Below are 16,961 nucleotides of genomic sequence, written 5' to 3'. Positions count from 1 at the left end.
CACCTGTCACTGGCTGTCAGCAGAGTCCTCTGAGGCTGTGTGGCTAAAAGAGCCCTTGCTGGGCAAGCTGGCAGCATGACCGGACAGACGACTAGTGTGTGTTGTTCATTTGTAGAAGCGCCAATGGGTTAACCAGTTTCCAAACCTGTAGGCATTTTGGAAATATATGTGAAACAGCCAGAATATTTGTAAACCTGTTCCACTGAATAGACATCACTTCCTCATCTGCTGGAGGCACTTTGAGGTGCTCAGAAAGCCAGTAATTTGTATTTTACAGACTACTTTAGATGCTAGTAATTTTCCTGCTGGTGCATAAATATTTGGAGTGGTTTGTATTATGATAGCCACATAATGGGATGTTACTTGTCCTTGCTTCTTTCCCCTTCCAGCAGGATGTCCTGAAATTAGGGGACTTTGGCTCCTGCCGGAGTGTCTATTCCAAGCAGCCGTACACGGAATACATCTCCACCCGCTGGTACCGGGCCCCGGAGTGTCTCCTCACTGATGGGTTCTACACGTACAAGATGGACCTGTGGAGCGCCGGCTGTGTGTTCTACGAGATCGCCAGGTAGCACCAGGCCAGGCTCCTGCCTGGTTCCTGCGGCGGAGCGGTGCAGCAGCCAGGCTCGTGCTCCTTCCTTTACAATCCAGATGTCATGGTCATTCTGGTTTTTCTTTCTGTTTTACTGTTTTTAATTTAACAGAAAATTGACTAGGCTTTCATTTTACTTGTTGTACATATTTGGCCTTGCCTGCCCTTCCCAGAGAAGAGCACCAGCCCTCAGTTGTTCTCCCTCCTGCACACCCTGGTGGTGTGGGCAGCTGCCTCCTTGGGGTTGCTGTGAGGTGCTTGATGGGGCTGCTGTGGGGAGGGGTGAGCCAAACCTCCCCTGAGAGGTGCAGTCATATTAGGTAGGGTGCCCTGGCCACAGGTGTGAGGATGAGGCACCTTCTGGCACAGTTGGACTCTAGAAAGCCCCAATCCCACCCCTCCCTGCTCCATCCTCCAAACCCCCCACTCCCCCCCAGCCTTTGGCAAGGAGCAGTGGCCCAGGGACGAGGAGATGGGGGCCGGTCCCACTCCGAGGTGAATGGTGTTGAGTTGAAGACGCGCACAGGGGTGGAGAGCTGCACCTCTTGCTCCCAGTGGGCCTCCAGGCAGGTGGCAGTGAGGTTAAGGTCTGGGGGTGCATCTGAGGGGTCAAAGTCTGGTCCCGCCTGCTCAACAGACTGCTACAGAAATGCACTTCAGGACATACTCTCCTTTGATCCAGATGGTTCATACTGGTAACTTTTCATTTTGGAAAGCTGAATGGCAATTTCACTGCAGCCAGAAGTGTCAACCAAGAGTCCCTTCCCATGAGCCCAGGTCCTGTGAGTTCATCTGGAGGGGGCAGATGTCAGGAGCACAAGGCCACCTGTATCTCACCAGCGCACAAGACGGCCCACGGTGCACCAGCCACCAAACTGGGCTGAGGCACTCATCTCCCCACTTGGAGCTGTTTCCTGCTCACCCGCATTTCCTCCTCTCTCCTTTAGTCACAAGAGCCTGCCATTTTCTGGAATAGAAGCTAGGCCTACTACCAGAGCTGTATTTTTAAATATTATTTGTGGCATGTAATATGAATTGAATTTATTTATACAGGTTTAAAATCTGTATTTATTTTTTTGAGATGGAGTTTTGCTCTTGTTGCCTAGGCTGGAGTGCAATGGTGCGATCTTGGCTCACCGCAGCCTCCGCCTCCCGGGTTCTAGCGATTCTCCTGCCTCAGCCCCCCAAGTAGCTGGGATTACAGGCATGCACCACCACGCCCGGCTAATTTTGTATTTTTAGTAGAGACGGGGTTTCTCCATGTTGGTCAGGCTGGTCTTGAACTCCTGACTTCAGGTAATCCGCCTGCCTCAGCCTCCCAAAGTGCTGGGATTACAGGCATGAGCCACCGCGCCCAGCACAGGTTTAAAATCTTGTTCCCACAATTCCAAAATCTATAAAAGCTCTGGAAACCAAAAGGTTTCTTGGGACTCATTTGTTGACAAAACCTGACCTGTCTCACCCTGAATTTGTCAGCAAAACTCCCCTTGGCCGATGGGAGGCTCACTGTGGGGTTATTTATCACGGTTACTGTGAATTAGTCACATTTCACCACAGACATCATGCTGAACAGATGACGGAATGTGGATCTGTCTTTTGCCTCTTAGAAAACACATGTCGGACCTATTGGTAAAGTGGAAACAAAAGGTCAAGCACAAGGGAGAGTGGAGCCTCCCAGCAGCTAAGGTCGCTGCACACGCCAGGCTGAGTTCCTCGTGTTCCGTGTGGTGAGGGTCGCTGCACACGCCAGGCTGAGTTCCTCGCGTTCCGTGTGAGCGAGTCTGCCTGGTCGAGGGGACTAGGCAGAATGGAGAGACCCATGGCCATGTCCTGACTGTAGGGTCAGCTGAGAGAAAGGAAAAATAGACCCAAAGTCAGGCAAGCAAGTCAGACAGTCAGAGGAAGCAGCCCCAAGCTTATAGAATGAGGGATTTATATTGGGGAGGGGAATTTGAGGGAGTTCTTTGGTATGGCCGCATCCTGGGGTTGGTTTTTTTTTTTTTTTTTTTTGAGACGGAGTCTTGCTCTGTCGCCCAGACTGGAGTGCAGTGGCGCGATCTGGGCTCACTGCAAGCTCCGCCTCCCAGGTTCACACCATTCTCCTGCCTCAGACTCCCGAGTAGCTGGGACTACAGGCACCCGCCAGCACGCCCGGCTAATTTTTTGTATTTTTAGTAGAGACAGGGTTTCATTGTGTTAGCCAGGATGGTCTTGATCTCCTGACCTCGTGATCCGCCCGCCTCAGCCTCCCAAAGTGCTGGGATCACAGGCGTGAGCCACTGCCCCGGCCATCCCAGGGTTGTTTGCTGGTTAATTTTGCCACATATCACCTTGTGATGTTTGTGGTAGCAACTAGATGAAGAGCAGGAACTTACAGAAGGGTGTAGGGAAAGTTTGTTTATGCTTCCCACGACCTCCTGCTGTGAGTTCTGGATGGTTTGTAATTGGGGTTTGCTTATCACAGCAAGGTCTGACAGGTGAAGTCTGCTGGCTTTACCGTGGCGCCTAGATAAAGGCTTAGAAATGTAAAGAGGCTTGAGGGAAGGGTGAACCGCACGGAGAAGGGTTGCAGAGCATTAGGGGGAGGGGTGGGCAGCACCAAGAAGCTTTTTTGGGGCAGTTTGTCTCTAACATTCCAGCCCTTTAATAGGTAATAGAAGAGGGGCGCCGTTGGCGTCTGGCCACTTCTTGCTGGGAAGGGGTGATGGTTATGGGGGAAGGCTGGACAGTAGGGACTGCCGTTCTTGGAGCTGTTGGTATTCTTGGAGCAGCATCATATCTTGTATTGTATTGAAGGCTCCGATACGGTCCTGTAAAAACTGAGTGAGAAGGCGTAGGAGACAAGGGCTGAATGCTAGAAAAAGAAGAATGGTTATGGCTGGGCCTAAGAGGGGCATTAGCCATGGAAACCAGGTACTAAAGGACCAGGAGGGCCACGCTGGCCATCGGGGGACATTTTCTTTAATTTTTTGTGCTCGGTCCTTTAGTGTTTTTACAAAATCTCGTACTAAGCCAGATTGGTTACGATAAAAGCAACACTGTTCATCTAGAAAGAGGCAGAGTCCTCCCTTTTTGGCTGTGAGTCGGTCTACGCCTCTGTGATTTTGAAGAAGCGCTGCTGCTAAAGAATCTATTTGTGATTGGAGAGTTGTGATGGATTTGGCTATCTCTTCCAAGCTATCTGTGAGGTCTTTGGAGAGGGATTGGTAATAGGAAACAGAGGTGGTTAATCCCGCAGTCTCAGTTCCACCTCCTGTAGTTATTCTGGGGACTGCTAATAGAGGTATGAGTTGCATAGCACGGCAGTGTCGGATGCGGGTATTAACTGGGATTGGTAGGGGTTGGTCTCCTGGAGCAACATTGATTTTTGGAGTGAGGAAAACCAGGGTGCAGGTAGGTGCCTGTCCAGTTAGAGGGGAGGCAAATATAAGTTGAGGTACTGCATAGGAAAAGTATGCCTTGGCTTGGTAGACAGAACTGGTTGTGTATGCTAAAAAGATGTACTGTTTTGTTGTCCTCATGCATCCATACTCCTAGGGCCCCAGCTAGAGCTGCTGCTCTGAGTGGTTGTAAAGGGTGTTTGCTTTAGGCTGGGGGCTTTGGGTTCTTTTTTCCCAGCGTAAGAGGAAGCATTTTGTGTCCACTAAGATCCATGTGGGAGTGTTGCTGAATGTTGGGATAAGGACACAGTCGCAGGTGGCGGGTGCAGGGATGGTGCATGGAGAGGGGAGCCAAGGGAAGAGGGATAAATGGGGGTGTCGGCCGTTGCAGTACTCTGAGTTTTTGTTAAGGAGGTGGGAGGTGTCAAGGGCTGGGGGGCTAGATAAACGAAGCCTGTCTTTATTGTTGGTGGCTTTGAGAGTAGTCTGTTCGGTGGAGGGTTTGAGTTGTGCGGTGTAAGTTGCACAGTTTGGAATTTAGGTGGCTGAGGGGAATGCTTGAGGGTGGATGTCGCTGGCGCACAGTGGTGCTGGATAGGATAAGATTGTGTGGGTTGTTACGGTTCCTACTAATAGGCATTCATCACAGCTGTGGTAGGGCCAGGTTGCGTAAGTAGGCATGTAAGGTTGTAACACCTGGACCGAACTCGCTAGCTAACTGGGGGAGATTTTTGTTAATGCCTGTATGTCGAGTTTGAGGGGCAGTTAATGAGGATTTCAGGATGGTAGCTTACTTGGGTGGAAGTCCAGTTATAGGCTGAGCAGGGGTTGCATTGTATGTTGTGGAGAGGAGGGATACGCAGAGCCAGCAGTCTCTTGCCAGAGAGGAATTGGAGTTTTTTAGTAAGGAGTGTGTGAGATTAAGTGTTCTGTATAGGTGTTCAGGGGTTGTAGGTATTGGTTGGACTGAACGAAGGGTTGGGGTATTGATTATGAGAAGGGTTAGAAAGGCAGATAGTGAGCAGAAAAATAAATAGTTCGGTTCCACCCAGAGTAAAGCCACAGAGAGAGCCTTGGAAGAAAAGGTCGATTATCCACTTGAAAAAGGCCTCCAGGGTGTCGTTCCGTGGGTGGAACCAGGAAATATCTTGTGAGAGGGCGTGAAGGAAGAGAGTGAAGCGGCAGGATAGACAAAAGCAGGGCATCTAGGGAGGATGTGGGAATGTTTGATAGTGATTGTGATTCCTGCTGTAAGGGTAACGATTAGGCAGACGGCTAAAGTGAGGGAGACTTTTGGCTGGTATTCCAATTGGAAGGAGTTACACTATATAATCCCACTGCAAACAATAGGGTAAGTATTATAATGCCTGCAGTTAGGGTGTAATAGAGTGTTTCCATTAAAGGAGGCTAGTTGTAATAGTACTTTAAACCTGTTTGAGATGGATGGATTTACTGATGTGAAGTTTCTTCTGGGATGGATGTGAGGCGGAGTCAGGTTGGCCCAAGGAGTGTGCTGGAATACCAGTTAGAAGTTGGTGAGGTGCTGGTTGGAGGATCGGAGGTGGGAGCTCTCTTTAACCTGGAAAGGTGATACTAGGGGGTATGTCCTGAGAGTTTGGCTGCAGTAGGGGTTGTAAGTGTCACACACGTCCATGTGAAAAGACCACCAAACAGGCTTTGTGTGAGCAACAAGGCTATTTATTTCACCTGGGTGCAGGCGGGCTGAGTCCGAAAAGAGAATCATCGAAGGGAGATAGGGGTGGGGCCGTTGTAGAGGATTTGGGTAGGTAGTGGAAAATTACAGTCAAAGGGGGTTGTTCTCCGGTGGGCAGGGGCAGGCGGAGGGGGTCACAAGGTGCTCAGTTGGGGAGCTTCTGAGAAAAGGAATTTCACAAGGAAATATCAGTTAAGGCAGGGACCGGCCATTTTCACTTCTTTTGTGATTCTTCACTTGCTTCAGGCCATCTGGATGTATATGTGCAGGCTTGGGCTTAGAGGCCTGACATTCCTGTCTTCTTATATTAATAAGAAAAATAACATAAAATAGTATTGAAGTGTTGGGGCAGTGAAAATTTTTGGGGGGGTGGTATGAAGAGATAATGGGCGATGTTTCTCAGGGCTGCTTCGAGTGGGATTAGGGGTGGCGTGGGAACCTGGAGTGGGAGAGATTCAGCTGAAGGAAGATTTTGGGGTAATGGGTGGTATTGTGGGGTTCTTAGAAGGAGCATTTGTCATATAGAATGATTGGTGATGGCCTGGATGTGTTTTTTTATGAATTGAGAGCTAAACGGAAGACACAAGGTCCAAATAAGAGAAGGAGAAAAACAGGTATTAAAGGACTAAGAATTGGGAGGACCCAGGACTTCCAATTAGGGAGTGCCCAAGGGGGTTCAGCGTAATTACTTGCTTGGTTGGTGAGTTTTTGGGCTCTATCCTTGACAGAGCCCTCCTTTTTAAGTTGGAGGCTGAGTTTGGTGAGGTGTGTTTTTAAAAGACCATTAGTCTGTTCCATTCTACCTTTCCTGAAGATTGAGGATGGTAAGCGGTATGAAGGTTCCACTGAATACCAAGAGCCTGAGAAACTGCTTGGGTGATTTGACTAATAAAGGCCAGTCCGTTATTGGACCGTATAGAGGTGGGAAGGCCAAACCGAGGAATTATGTCTGACAGAAGGGAAGAAATGACCACGGTGGCCTTTTTTTGACCTTGTGGGAAAGGCCTCTACCCATCCAGTGAAAGTGTCTATCTAGACCGAGACGTATTTTAGTTTCCTGACTCAGGGCATGTGAGTAAAGTCAATTTGCCAGTCCTGGGCAGGGGCAAATCCCCGAGCTTGATGTGTAGGGAAGGGAGGGGGCCTGAACAATCCCTGAGGAGTAGTAGAATAGCAGATGGAACACTGAGAAGTGATTTCCTTGAGGATAGATTTCCATGATGGAAAGGAAATGAGAGGTTCTAAGAGGCAGACTAGCAGCTTGTAATCTACGTGGAAGAGGTTATGAAATGACGACAGAATAGAATGGGCCTGTGAGGCTGGAAGGAGATATGTTCCTTAGTCCAAGAACTATTTGCCTTGTGTGGGAAGAGATTGATAGGTGGAAGTTTCAGTGGTGGAGTAGGTGGGAGTGACCGATGAGAAGGAGAAAAACTGCCATGAGGGATAGAAGTTGGAATGCTAGCTGCTTCTTTAGCTACCTTATCAGCATAAGCGTTGCCCCGAGCAGTGGGGTCTGATGCCTTTTGATGGCCCTTGCAGTGAATGACTCCAGCTTCCTTTGGAAGTAAAGCGACCTTGAGAAGTATTTTTATTAAAGAGGCATTAATGATGGAGGACCCTTGTGTAGTGAGGAAACCTCTTTCAGCCCATATAACAGCATGGTGGGGCAGGATATGGAAGGCATGTTTAGAGTCAGTATAAATATTGATGCGTAGTTCCTTTGCAAGAGTGAGGGCTTGAGTTAAAGCAATGAGTTTGGCTTGCTGAGAGGTAGTGGAGGGGGCAGAGCAGTAGCCTCAATGATAGATGTGGAAGATACTATAGCATAGCCTGCCTTTGCTGGTAAGCGGTGATTAGGCCTGGTGGAACTGCCATGGATAAACCAAGTGTGATCAGGGTGAGGAACAGGAAAGAAGGAAATATGGGGAAATGGAGTGAATGTCAGGTGGATCAGAGAGATACAGTCATGGGGGTCAGGTGTGGTATCTGGAATAATGTGGGAGGCCGGATTGAAGTCTGGGCCAGGAACACTGGTAATTGTGGGAGACTCAACAAAGAGTGAGTACAGCTGAAGGAGCCAGGGAGCAGAAAGTATATGCATCAGGTGTGAGGAAGAAAATAGATTTTGGAAGTTATGAGGGCTGTAGAGAGTGAGTTGAGCATAGTTTGTGATTTTGAGGGCCTCTAAAAGTGTTAGGGTGACGGCAGCTGCCACACAGAGACATGATGGCCAGCCTAAAACAGTAAGATCAAGTTGTTTGGACAAAAAGGATACAGGGCACGGTCCCGGCTCTTGTGTAAGAATTTCAACTGCACAGCCCTGCACTTTGGCTCTGTGTAATGAAAAAGGGTTGGGATGAGTTAGGGAGAGCTAGTGTGGGAGCAGCTTCCAGGGCTGTTTTTAAGGAACGGAAAGAGGAATGGGGAAAGGATTTAGGATCTATGTGGTCAGCTAGGTTTTCTTTTGTGTTTATGTAATGGTTTTGTTAGGATGGCAAAACCAGGTATTTAAAGGTGAAAGTATTTAACCATGCCCAGGAAGGAAAGGAGTTGTTTTGTAGAAGGGGTTGGGGTTTGGGAGATTAGCCAGACATGATTAGCAGGGAGGGCATGTGTGTTTTGATGAAGAATTATGCCAAGATAGGTAACAGATGAGGAAGAAATTTGGGTTTGACTGAAGTAATGGGGGCTGTCCATGAAGCCTTGCAGCAGTACAGCCCAGGTAATTTGCTGAGCCTGATGGGTGTCAGGGTCAGTCCAAGTGAAAGCAAAGAGTGGCTGGGATGAAGCGTGCAAAGGAATAGTAAAGAAAGCATGTTTGAGACCCAGAACAGAATAATGGGTTGTGGAGGGGTTGTGGAGGGAGGTATTGAGGATAGGAGAGTATATGGGTTTAGCACTACAGGGTGGATAGGCAAAACAATTTGGTTGATAAGATGCAGATCCTGAACTAACTTGTAAGACTTGTCCGGTTTTTGGACAGGGAAAATGGGGGAATTGTAAGGAGAGTTTATAGGCTTTAAAAGGCCATGCTGTAACAGGTGAGTGATAACAGGCTTTAATCCTTTTAAAGTGTACTGTGGGATGGGATATTGGCGTTGAGTGGGTTAAGGGTGATTAGGTTTTAATGGGATAGTAAGGGGTGTGTGATCAGTTGCCAGGGGAGAGTAGAGGTGTCCCATACTTGTGGATTAAGGTGGGGAGATACAAGGGGAAGATGTGAAGGAGGCTTTGAACTGAGGAAAAGGGCAGCAATGAGGTGTGGCTATAGTCTAGGAATAGTCAGGGAAGCAGATAATTTAGTTAAAATGTCTCCACCTAATAAGGGAGCTGGGCAGGTGAGGATAACTAAAAAGGAGTGCACAGAAGAATGTTGTCCAAGTTGGCACCAGAGTTGGGGAGTTTTAAAAGGTTTAGAAGCCTGGCCGTCAATACCCACAATTGTGGAGGCAAGGGAAAAGAAGGTAATGTGGAGTGGGTAAGCTCCGTATTGATTAAGAAGGGGATGGACTTACCCTCCACTGTAAGAGTTACCCAAAGCGTCTGTGATGGTCCAGGAGGCTTCCGAGGCAATCAGGTAGCATTAGTCTTCAGCCGCTAAAGCCAAGAAGATCTGGGAAGGAGTCAGTCAGAGAGCCTTGGGCCAGAGTTCCAGGGACTCTGGGAGTGGCTGCTGGGCGAGTTGGACAGTCCGATTTCCAGTGGGGTCCTGCACAGATGGGACATGGCTTAGGAGGAATTCTGGGCTGTGGGCATTTCTTGGCCCAGTGGCCAGATTTCCGGCGCTAGAAGTAAGATCCTTGGGGAGGCAGTTCTGGAGGAACGCCTGGCCACTGCGGTTCAGACGTTTGGAAGTTCTTGTGTCCTGGAGATGTGGCTGGGGTTTGTCTCACAGTGGAGGCAGGAATTGCAATTCAGAAATTCATTGCTACTTGGCTGCCTCTACTCTATTATTGTACACCTTGAAGGTGAGGTTAATTAAGTCCTGTTGTGGGGTTTGAGGGCCGGAATCTAATTTTTGGAGCTTTTTCTAATGTCAGGAGCAGATTGGGTAATAAAATGCCTATTGAGAATAAGATGGCCTTCTGGCCCCTCTGGGTCTAGGGCGGTAAAGCATCTAAGGGTTGTTGCCAAACGGGCCATGAACTGGGTTGAGTTTTTATATTTGATGAAAAAGAGCCTAAACACTGATTTGGGAGAGGTCAGATAAAGAAAAAGGAGCATTAACCTTGGCTAAGCCTTCGGCTCCAGCCACCTCCTTAAGAGGAAATTGTTGAGCAGGTGCGGGAGGGCTAGTCTCCCCACGTGAAACTGTAAGCTGGACCCTGTGTGAGGATGGGAGGTGATTAAAGGATTATAGGGTGGGGGAGTGGAGGCTGAGGAAGAATTGAGACCTGGCTCAGCCTGGCGAGGATTAGCCTGGGGAGGAAGGGAGGGGTCAGATGGGTCTGTAGAAAAGGATTCAAAGGACTCAGAGCTTGGAGTGGAGACTGAAGGAATAGACAGGAGAGAAAGAAGAAAGATTTGGGATGAGTTGCATTGGGAGCAGAGACTAGGGAGGGACCGATGTGTAAAAGAATGCCTGGACGTCAGGCACCTCAGACCATTTGCCCATTTTTCGACAAAAATCATCCAGGTCTTGTAAAATGGAGAAATCAAAAGTGCCATTTTCTGGCTGTTTAGAACCATTATCGAGTTTGTATTGGGGCCAAGTGGTGTTGGCGAAGACACTTAGGTTTTAGGTCAGGCAAGAGTTGAAGAGGTTTTAAGTTTTTGAGAATACAGCCTAAGGAAGAAGAAGGGGGAATGGAGGGTGGAAGGTTGCCCATAGTGAAGCAGGCAAGCCCAGAGAAAAGAGAGGGTAGAGACACAGATAAGGAGGGTGGTGAGCAGCCCTGGGCTGCAATGTGGGTGAGCAGCCAAAGCAGGCATCCCCGCAGTTGACTTGCCACCAAGGGAATGTGGGTGAATGACCAAGGCAGGCATCCTCGCGGTGATCAGACACCAATGGAGTGTGGGTGAATAATCAGGCAGGCATCCCCGCAGTGATTAAACACCAAGAGAAGACTATTCCTGAGTCTGTGACTGGTGCTGGAGTTTTGAGTCCACAGATAAAATGTGTCTCCTTCGTCTCTACTAGAGAGGAAAAAGAACTGGAATTGGAAGAACAGGGAGACTGAAGGGTAGCAAGAGAGGCTGGAGAAGAGAGTGAAAAGACCGCTTACCTGATTTGAAATTGGTGAGATGTTCCTTGGGCTGGTTGGTCTGAGGACCCGAGGTTGTAGGTAGATCTCCTCACGGAGTGAGGGCAAGGACAGGGGACTGGTCTCCCGAAGGAGTCCTCCTGTCCCGGGTTTCGGCACCAAATGTCACGCGCGTCCCTGTGAAGAGACCACCAAACGGGCTTTGTGTGAGCAACAAGGCTGTTTATTTCACCTGGGTGCAGGCGGGCTGAGTCCGAAAACAGAGTCAGCAAAGGGAGATAGGGGTGGGTCGTTTTATAGGATTTGGGTAGGTAGTGGAAAATTACAGTCAAAGGGGGTTGTTCTCTGGCGGGCAGGGGCTAGGGGATCACAAGGTGCTCAGTGTGGAAGCTTCTGAGCCAGGAGAAGGAATTTCACAAGGTAATGTCATCAGTTAAGGCAGGGCTGGCCATTTTCACTTCTTTTGTGATTCTTCACTTGCTTCGGGCCATCTGGATGTATACTGCAGGCTTGGGCTCAGAGGCCTGACAGTAAGGATGACCTGGAAAGGGCCTTCCCATTTTGGTTTAAGGCTGGTTGGGTTAAGGGTTTTTTTTTGTTTGATTTTTGTTTTTTGTTTTGAGACAGAGTCCTGCCCTGTCGCCAGGCTGGAGTGCAGGGCACAATCTCAGCTCACTGCAACCTTTGCCTCCCAGGTTCAAGTGATTCTCCTGCCTCAGCCTCCCGAGTAGCTGGGACTACAGGTGCCTGCCACCATGCCCGGCTAATTTTTGTATTTTTAGTAGAGAAGGGGTTTCACCATGTTGGCCAGGATGGTCTCAATCTCTTGACCTTGTGATTCACCAGGCTTGGCCTCCCACTGTACTGGGATTACAGGCGTGAGCCACTGTGCCCAGCCGGGTTAAGGGTTTTTAGAAAAACATGTTCTCCTGGTAGGAGGGTCTGGTCAGTGAGGCCTTTATGTGGTATTGGGAGGGCCTGGTGTGCCTGTTTGCAGAGGAGATGGCGGATGAGGGAGAGTGCTGGGAGGTACTCTCCTAATTGAGAATCAGAAGGAGGCCTGTTTTGTAAGAGGAAAGGGTCTCAGAAGGAGGCCTGTTTTGTAAGAGGAAAGGGCATCCATACATTAATTCAAATGGGCTGAGGAAGGAGGGTGCCTTTGGGCTGGCTCTGACGCTGGCTAGAGCTATGGGTAGGAGGGAAGTCCAGGGCCTCTGGACTTCTAGAGTGAGTTTGATCAACTGAGTGTTAAGGTTTCCATTTGCCCTTTCGACTTTTCCTGATGATTGGGGTCGATATGGGATATGGAGGTGCCACTGGATGCTGAGGGACTGGGAGAGCTGTTGGGTGATTTGGGAAATGAAGCCAGGGCCATTGTCTGATTGATTGGAGCGAGGGAGACCAAAGCTAGGGATGATTTCTCTTGTGGGGATCTGGGAGACTACTGCAGCTTTTTCTGAAGAGGTAGGAAATGCCTCCACCCACCCAGAGAAGATGTCTATAAGAGTGAGAAGTAGTCTTGTGTTTTTGACGGGAGGCATGTGGGTGAAGTCTATTTGCCAGTCTTCCCCTGGGAGTGTTCCTCTTAGCTGGTGTGTAGGAATAGATGGGGAATGGAGGGCTCCTTGAGAGGAGGTGACAGAGCATATATGACATTTTGAAGTTATACTTTTTAGTGAGGTAAATAGGTGAGGGGAGAAGAAATATGGGCGGAGGAGGAGATATAGGGGACATGCACCAATATGGAAGGATTGGTGGAGAGATGTCAGGATTTTGTCGGTTTGGCCCTGGGGAAGGTCTAGCTTCTGGTCCTTATCTATCCAGTCCCCCTGGAGGAAGGCTCCTTGTTATAGTAATGAGGCTTTTTCAGTGGGGGGTACTGAGGTTGGACTGCAGGGGTAATGAGGAGGAGGGAGGCAGGAGCGGAAGAAAGGGAGGCTTCTTTTGCTGCCCCATTGGTCTTTCTGTTGCCTCTTGAGATTTTATCTGTTCCTGTGTGATGTCCCCAACAGTGTATAACTCCTGCCTCAGTTGGGAGATGTGCGGCTTGAAGGAGTTGGTAAATAAGGGGGTGGTTAGTGATAGGGTCACTTTGGCAGTAAGGAATCTCCTCTCTTGCCAGATGGTGGCGTGGGAATGAAGAATGTGATATACATCTTTGGAGTCTGTGTAAGTGTTGACTCGTTTGCCTTTGGAAAGGGTTAGGGCTCTGGTGAGAGCTATGAATTCTGCTTTTTGAGAGGAGGTTCCTGGAGGTAGGGGCTTAGCTTCAATTACTCGGTCAAGGGAAACAACTGCATACCCAGCAATTTTGGGGGAGCCAGTGGGCCCAGAAGGGGGGCCATCTATAAATAGCTGGTCATCGGGGTTGGTGAGAGGCTCGGAGGAAATGTTAGGAAAGTGTGGCTGCAGGTGATCTAGGACGTCAGTGCAAGAATGAGTAGGAAGGGAAGAAGATACAGGGAGTAAGGATGCTGGGTTGAAGGGAGCACTTTTGGCAAGACCGAATTCAGGATTTTTGATAGAGGGCATGGAGTAATTGAATCCGGAAAGGAGGGAGCCTCATGCTCGGGAGGAGAGGAGATCCTGTAGATTATGAGGACTGTAGGTGGTGGTATTTTGACTCAATGTTAGTTTCCTGCTTACAGCTAAAGTGGCCGCTGCTGCTAGCATTCTAAGACAGGTTGGCCATCCTCTGACTGTGTTGTCTAACTGTTTAGAGAGGTAGGCTACAGGGGCAAAGGAAGGAGGGTCTCCTTTCTGTTGCCCTAAGACACCGAGGGCTATTCCTCATCTTTTGGCAGTATAGAGTGTGAGAGGTTGGGAGATACCAGGTAAGGACAGAGCTGGTGCAGTGACAAGAGCGGTTTGAAGTTTGCAGAAGTTGGGGAGTATGTTACGTGAGGGATTTAGAGGCTCACTGAGAGGGCCTTTGGCTGCTTCATAGAGTGGGTGAGCTAGGAGGGCAAAGTTGGGAATCCATATTCTAAAAAAGCCTGCTAGTTCTAGGAAGGAAAGAACTTCGCTTTTGGAGGAGGGCGAGGGCAGATTATCTATTAGTGCTGCTAGGGCAGGGGTCATAGCCCGGGTCCCAGGGGAAAGTTGAACTCCTAGGTAAGTTACTATGGAGGTGGAAAGTTGAGCTTCGGAGGGGGAGACTCTATACCCTTTGATGGAGAGAAAGTTTTAAGAGAGTAACTGTGTGAGTTTGAGAGTCTTCTAGAGAGGGGCTGCAAAGGAGAAGATTGTCCACGTATTGAAGGAGACGGCTAGGGAAAAGGTTTAAGGAAGTGAGATCTTGAGCTAAAGCTTGTCCAAAGAAGTGAGGGTTATCTCTGAAGCCTTGAGGGAGGACAGTCCAGGTTAGTTGTTGTGACTGGAGGGTGTCAAGGTCGGTCCAGGTGAAAGCAAAGAGGTTTTGGGAATCAGGGTGCAGGGGAATAGTAAAAAAAGTCATCTTTTAGGTCAATAGCAGTGTAGCAGGTGGTGTTGGAGGGAATGAGACAGAGAAGTGTAGAGGGGTTAGGGACTATGGGATGAATAGGAAAGACAGCCTGACTGATGGCTCGGAGGTCTTGCAGGAGTCGGTATGAGCCGTCTGATTTTTTAACCAGGAGGATGGTGGTGTTATATGAAGAACGTGTTGGCCTAAGAAGACGGCGTGAACAGAGCTTGTTTGTGATGGGCTGTAAGCCTTTTTGGTGGGTTAGGGAGATAGGGTTTTTGGGGATGCTGGGAAATTTAGAGAGGTCTTTTAACTGGATTTTGATGGGGTCGTGGTGAGTAGCTAGGGAAGGGGTGGTGGTGTCCCACCCTGTTGGGTTTACAAAAGAGGTGGGAAGTGGGTACTGGGGAGAGGGGTCAGGGGCTGGACTCGCATAGAGGAGTAGGAGGGACTCCGGTTGAGGGAGGGAGAAAAAGGTGATAGAAGCTTTGAATTTGGCCAAAATTTGAATTTGAATTTGGCTTTGAATTTGGCCTAGGATGGGGGTAGGGCAACGAGGCATGATAAGGAAAGAGTGTGGGAAAACAGTATCAAACAGAGAGCAAGTAAGGGGTCTGGTGGCGCGTGGACGCAAGATGAGTCCATCAGCCCCCACAACTGAGACCTGAGAGGGATGAGTGGGTCCTGAAAATTCAGGCAAAGCTGAGTAGGTGGCCCCGCTATCAATTTAAAAAGAGATCGGCTTACCTGCTACTCGCAGAGTTACCCTGGGCTCCAATGCAGTGATGGCAGATGGGGCCGGGGGCCCTGGGCCCGGTCAGTCCTCAGCGGCTAGGCTGAGGAGCTGCGGGAATGCAAGCGGTTCTTCACTTTTTGTCTTGTTAAAGGGGTGGTGGCTCTGAGGAGCAGGCTTGTCTGTCTGTTGAGAGGACAGTCGGACTTCCAGTGGCCTGTCTGCTGGCACACTGGACAAGGACTCTTTGGCACTCAAGGGTTAGGATACACCCATGCCCAGTGGCCTTCTTTGCCACACTTAAAACAAGGCCCGGAGGGTTGCTGCTATCGGGTCTTTTGTGCCCTTGGGTGATACGGCTGGGTTGATGGACAGCCGCTGCTAGAAGCTGGTATTTAGCACGATCTCTTTGGGCTTTATCTAATTTATTTTGCTCATCCCTGTTATTAAAGACTTTGAAAGCCAAGTTAAGGAGGTCTCGTTGTGGGGTCTGAGGGGCATCTTCAGCCTTTTTAAGTTTGCGCCAGATGTCGGGGGCAGATTGGGAAATAAAATGGATGTAAAGAACAATAGTTCCTTCCCGGGAGGCGGGATCGACACGCGTGTATTTTTGGAGAGTCTCTGTAAGGCGAGAAAGGAATTGGGCAGGGTTTTCATTGGCCTTTTGGGAGATTCCTTTGAGTTTTTCGAAATTTACAGCCTTATGGGCAGTTTTGTTAAGGCCTGCAGTGAGGCAAGTAATCATATGATTACAGGAGGTCTGGCAGGGGCCTGTGGGTTGATACGCCCAGGTACGCTCTTCTCAGGGAACTGCAGCGGCCCCTACTGGCCTAGTAGGATCTTGCCGATGGAGGTCATCGGCATGGGCCTGGGCTGCAAGCCACACTCTTTCCTTTTCTTCCGGAAGGAGGGTAGAAGACAAAATAATATAGAGATCATGCCAAGTAAGTTCATAAGACTGGGTGAGATATTTAAATTATTTGATGTAAGTGTCGGGATCGGAGAAGAACCTGGACGTTTCTCAATTTGGGAAACATTAGAGAGGGAAAATGGGACGTGGACACGGACCATCCCTTCGGCCCATGCCACTTCCCGGAGAAGAAGCAAGGGAGCAGGCTGCTGGGCGTGTTGGGCTCGAGAACGAGTAAGGGGTGGAGATGGGGAGGACTCAGAGTCGGAGGTGGGGTGGTTGGAGAGAAGGGGAGAGAGAGGTAGAGCCGGAGCGGAGGCATACGGTGGGGGGTCATGCTGTTCCGGTGGAGGATTAGGATGTTGTCGAGGAGGGGAGAAATCGGTGGGATCAAAGAAGGAGAAGTCGTCCGCTGGGGCTATTGGGATGAGGGGAGCAGGAGGTGAGTCGGGTTTGGAGCAGGCGAGGAGAATTTGAAAAGTACAGCAGGACTGGCAGAGGGAGGGACGACTACAGAGAGTAAAGAAAGCCTGAACATGAGGAATCTCAGACCACTTCCCACTGCGGTGGCAAAAGTTGTCTAAGTCTCTGAGCATGTCGGAATCGAAAGTGCCATTTTCAGGCCATTGGGAGCCATGGTCTGATTTGTATTGAGGCCATGTGGTGTTACAGTAAAAGATAAGCCTTTTAGGGCAGATTTCTGAACGGAGGCCAAGAGTATACAGATTGTGTAGGAGGCACCCAAGGGGGGTAGTTTTAGGAGGAATAGACTGAGAGGCTCCCATAGTGAATGGAAGGGAGGGGGGTAGAGGAAGAAGAGACTGCCGGTGACGTCCCCTTTCCCGCGGAACTTGTCAGGAATAGAGGAGGTAACCACCGTGTCAGGCGTCCCTGAAACGGAGGAACCAGAGGCCTGGAGGCTGGAGGAAGCCCTTGGCCCAGCGCTGGGTCTTTCGGAAATGGGAGATGGACGGTCAAGA

General features: G+C 49.5%; 1 protein-coding gene across 33 annotated transcripts in view; it reads left to right on the top strand.

The window, feature by feature from the left end:
- MOK (MOK protein kinase) overlaps positions 1 to 16,961 on the top strand; it is a 90,569-nt gene that overhangs the window by 53,785 nt on the left and 19,823 nt on the right. For 14 of the 33 annotated variants that reach the window (XR_007064040.1, XR_007064039.1, NR_148556.2 and 11 more), the window contains one exon: positions 390 to 568. Coding sequence is in view for 19 of the 33 variants with exons in the window: in XM_047431646.1 (XP_047287602.1) it covers positions 390 to 568 (179 nt within the window). In the remaining 14 variants the exon portion in view is untranslated. Of the gene's footprint in view, positions 1 to 389; positions 569 to 3,828; positions 5,324 to 10,764; positions 10,929 to 13,015; positions 13,063 to 15,953; positions 16,851 to 16,961 lie in introns of those variants that run through there. The other 19 variants (XR_007064041.1, NR_148555.2, NR_148553.2 and 16 more) reach the window with 6 other exon arrangements.

The sequence above is a fragment of the Homo sapiens genome, chromosome 14, assembly GCF_000001405.40.
Source record: "Homo sapiens chromosome 14, GRCh38.p14 Primary Assembly".
Taxonomy (NCBI): Eukaryota; Metazoa; Chordata; class Mammalia; order Primates; family Hominidae; genus Homo; species Homo sapiens.
This window is presented reverse-complemented; position numbering and strand designations above follow the sequence as displayed.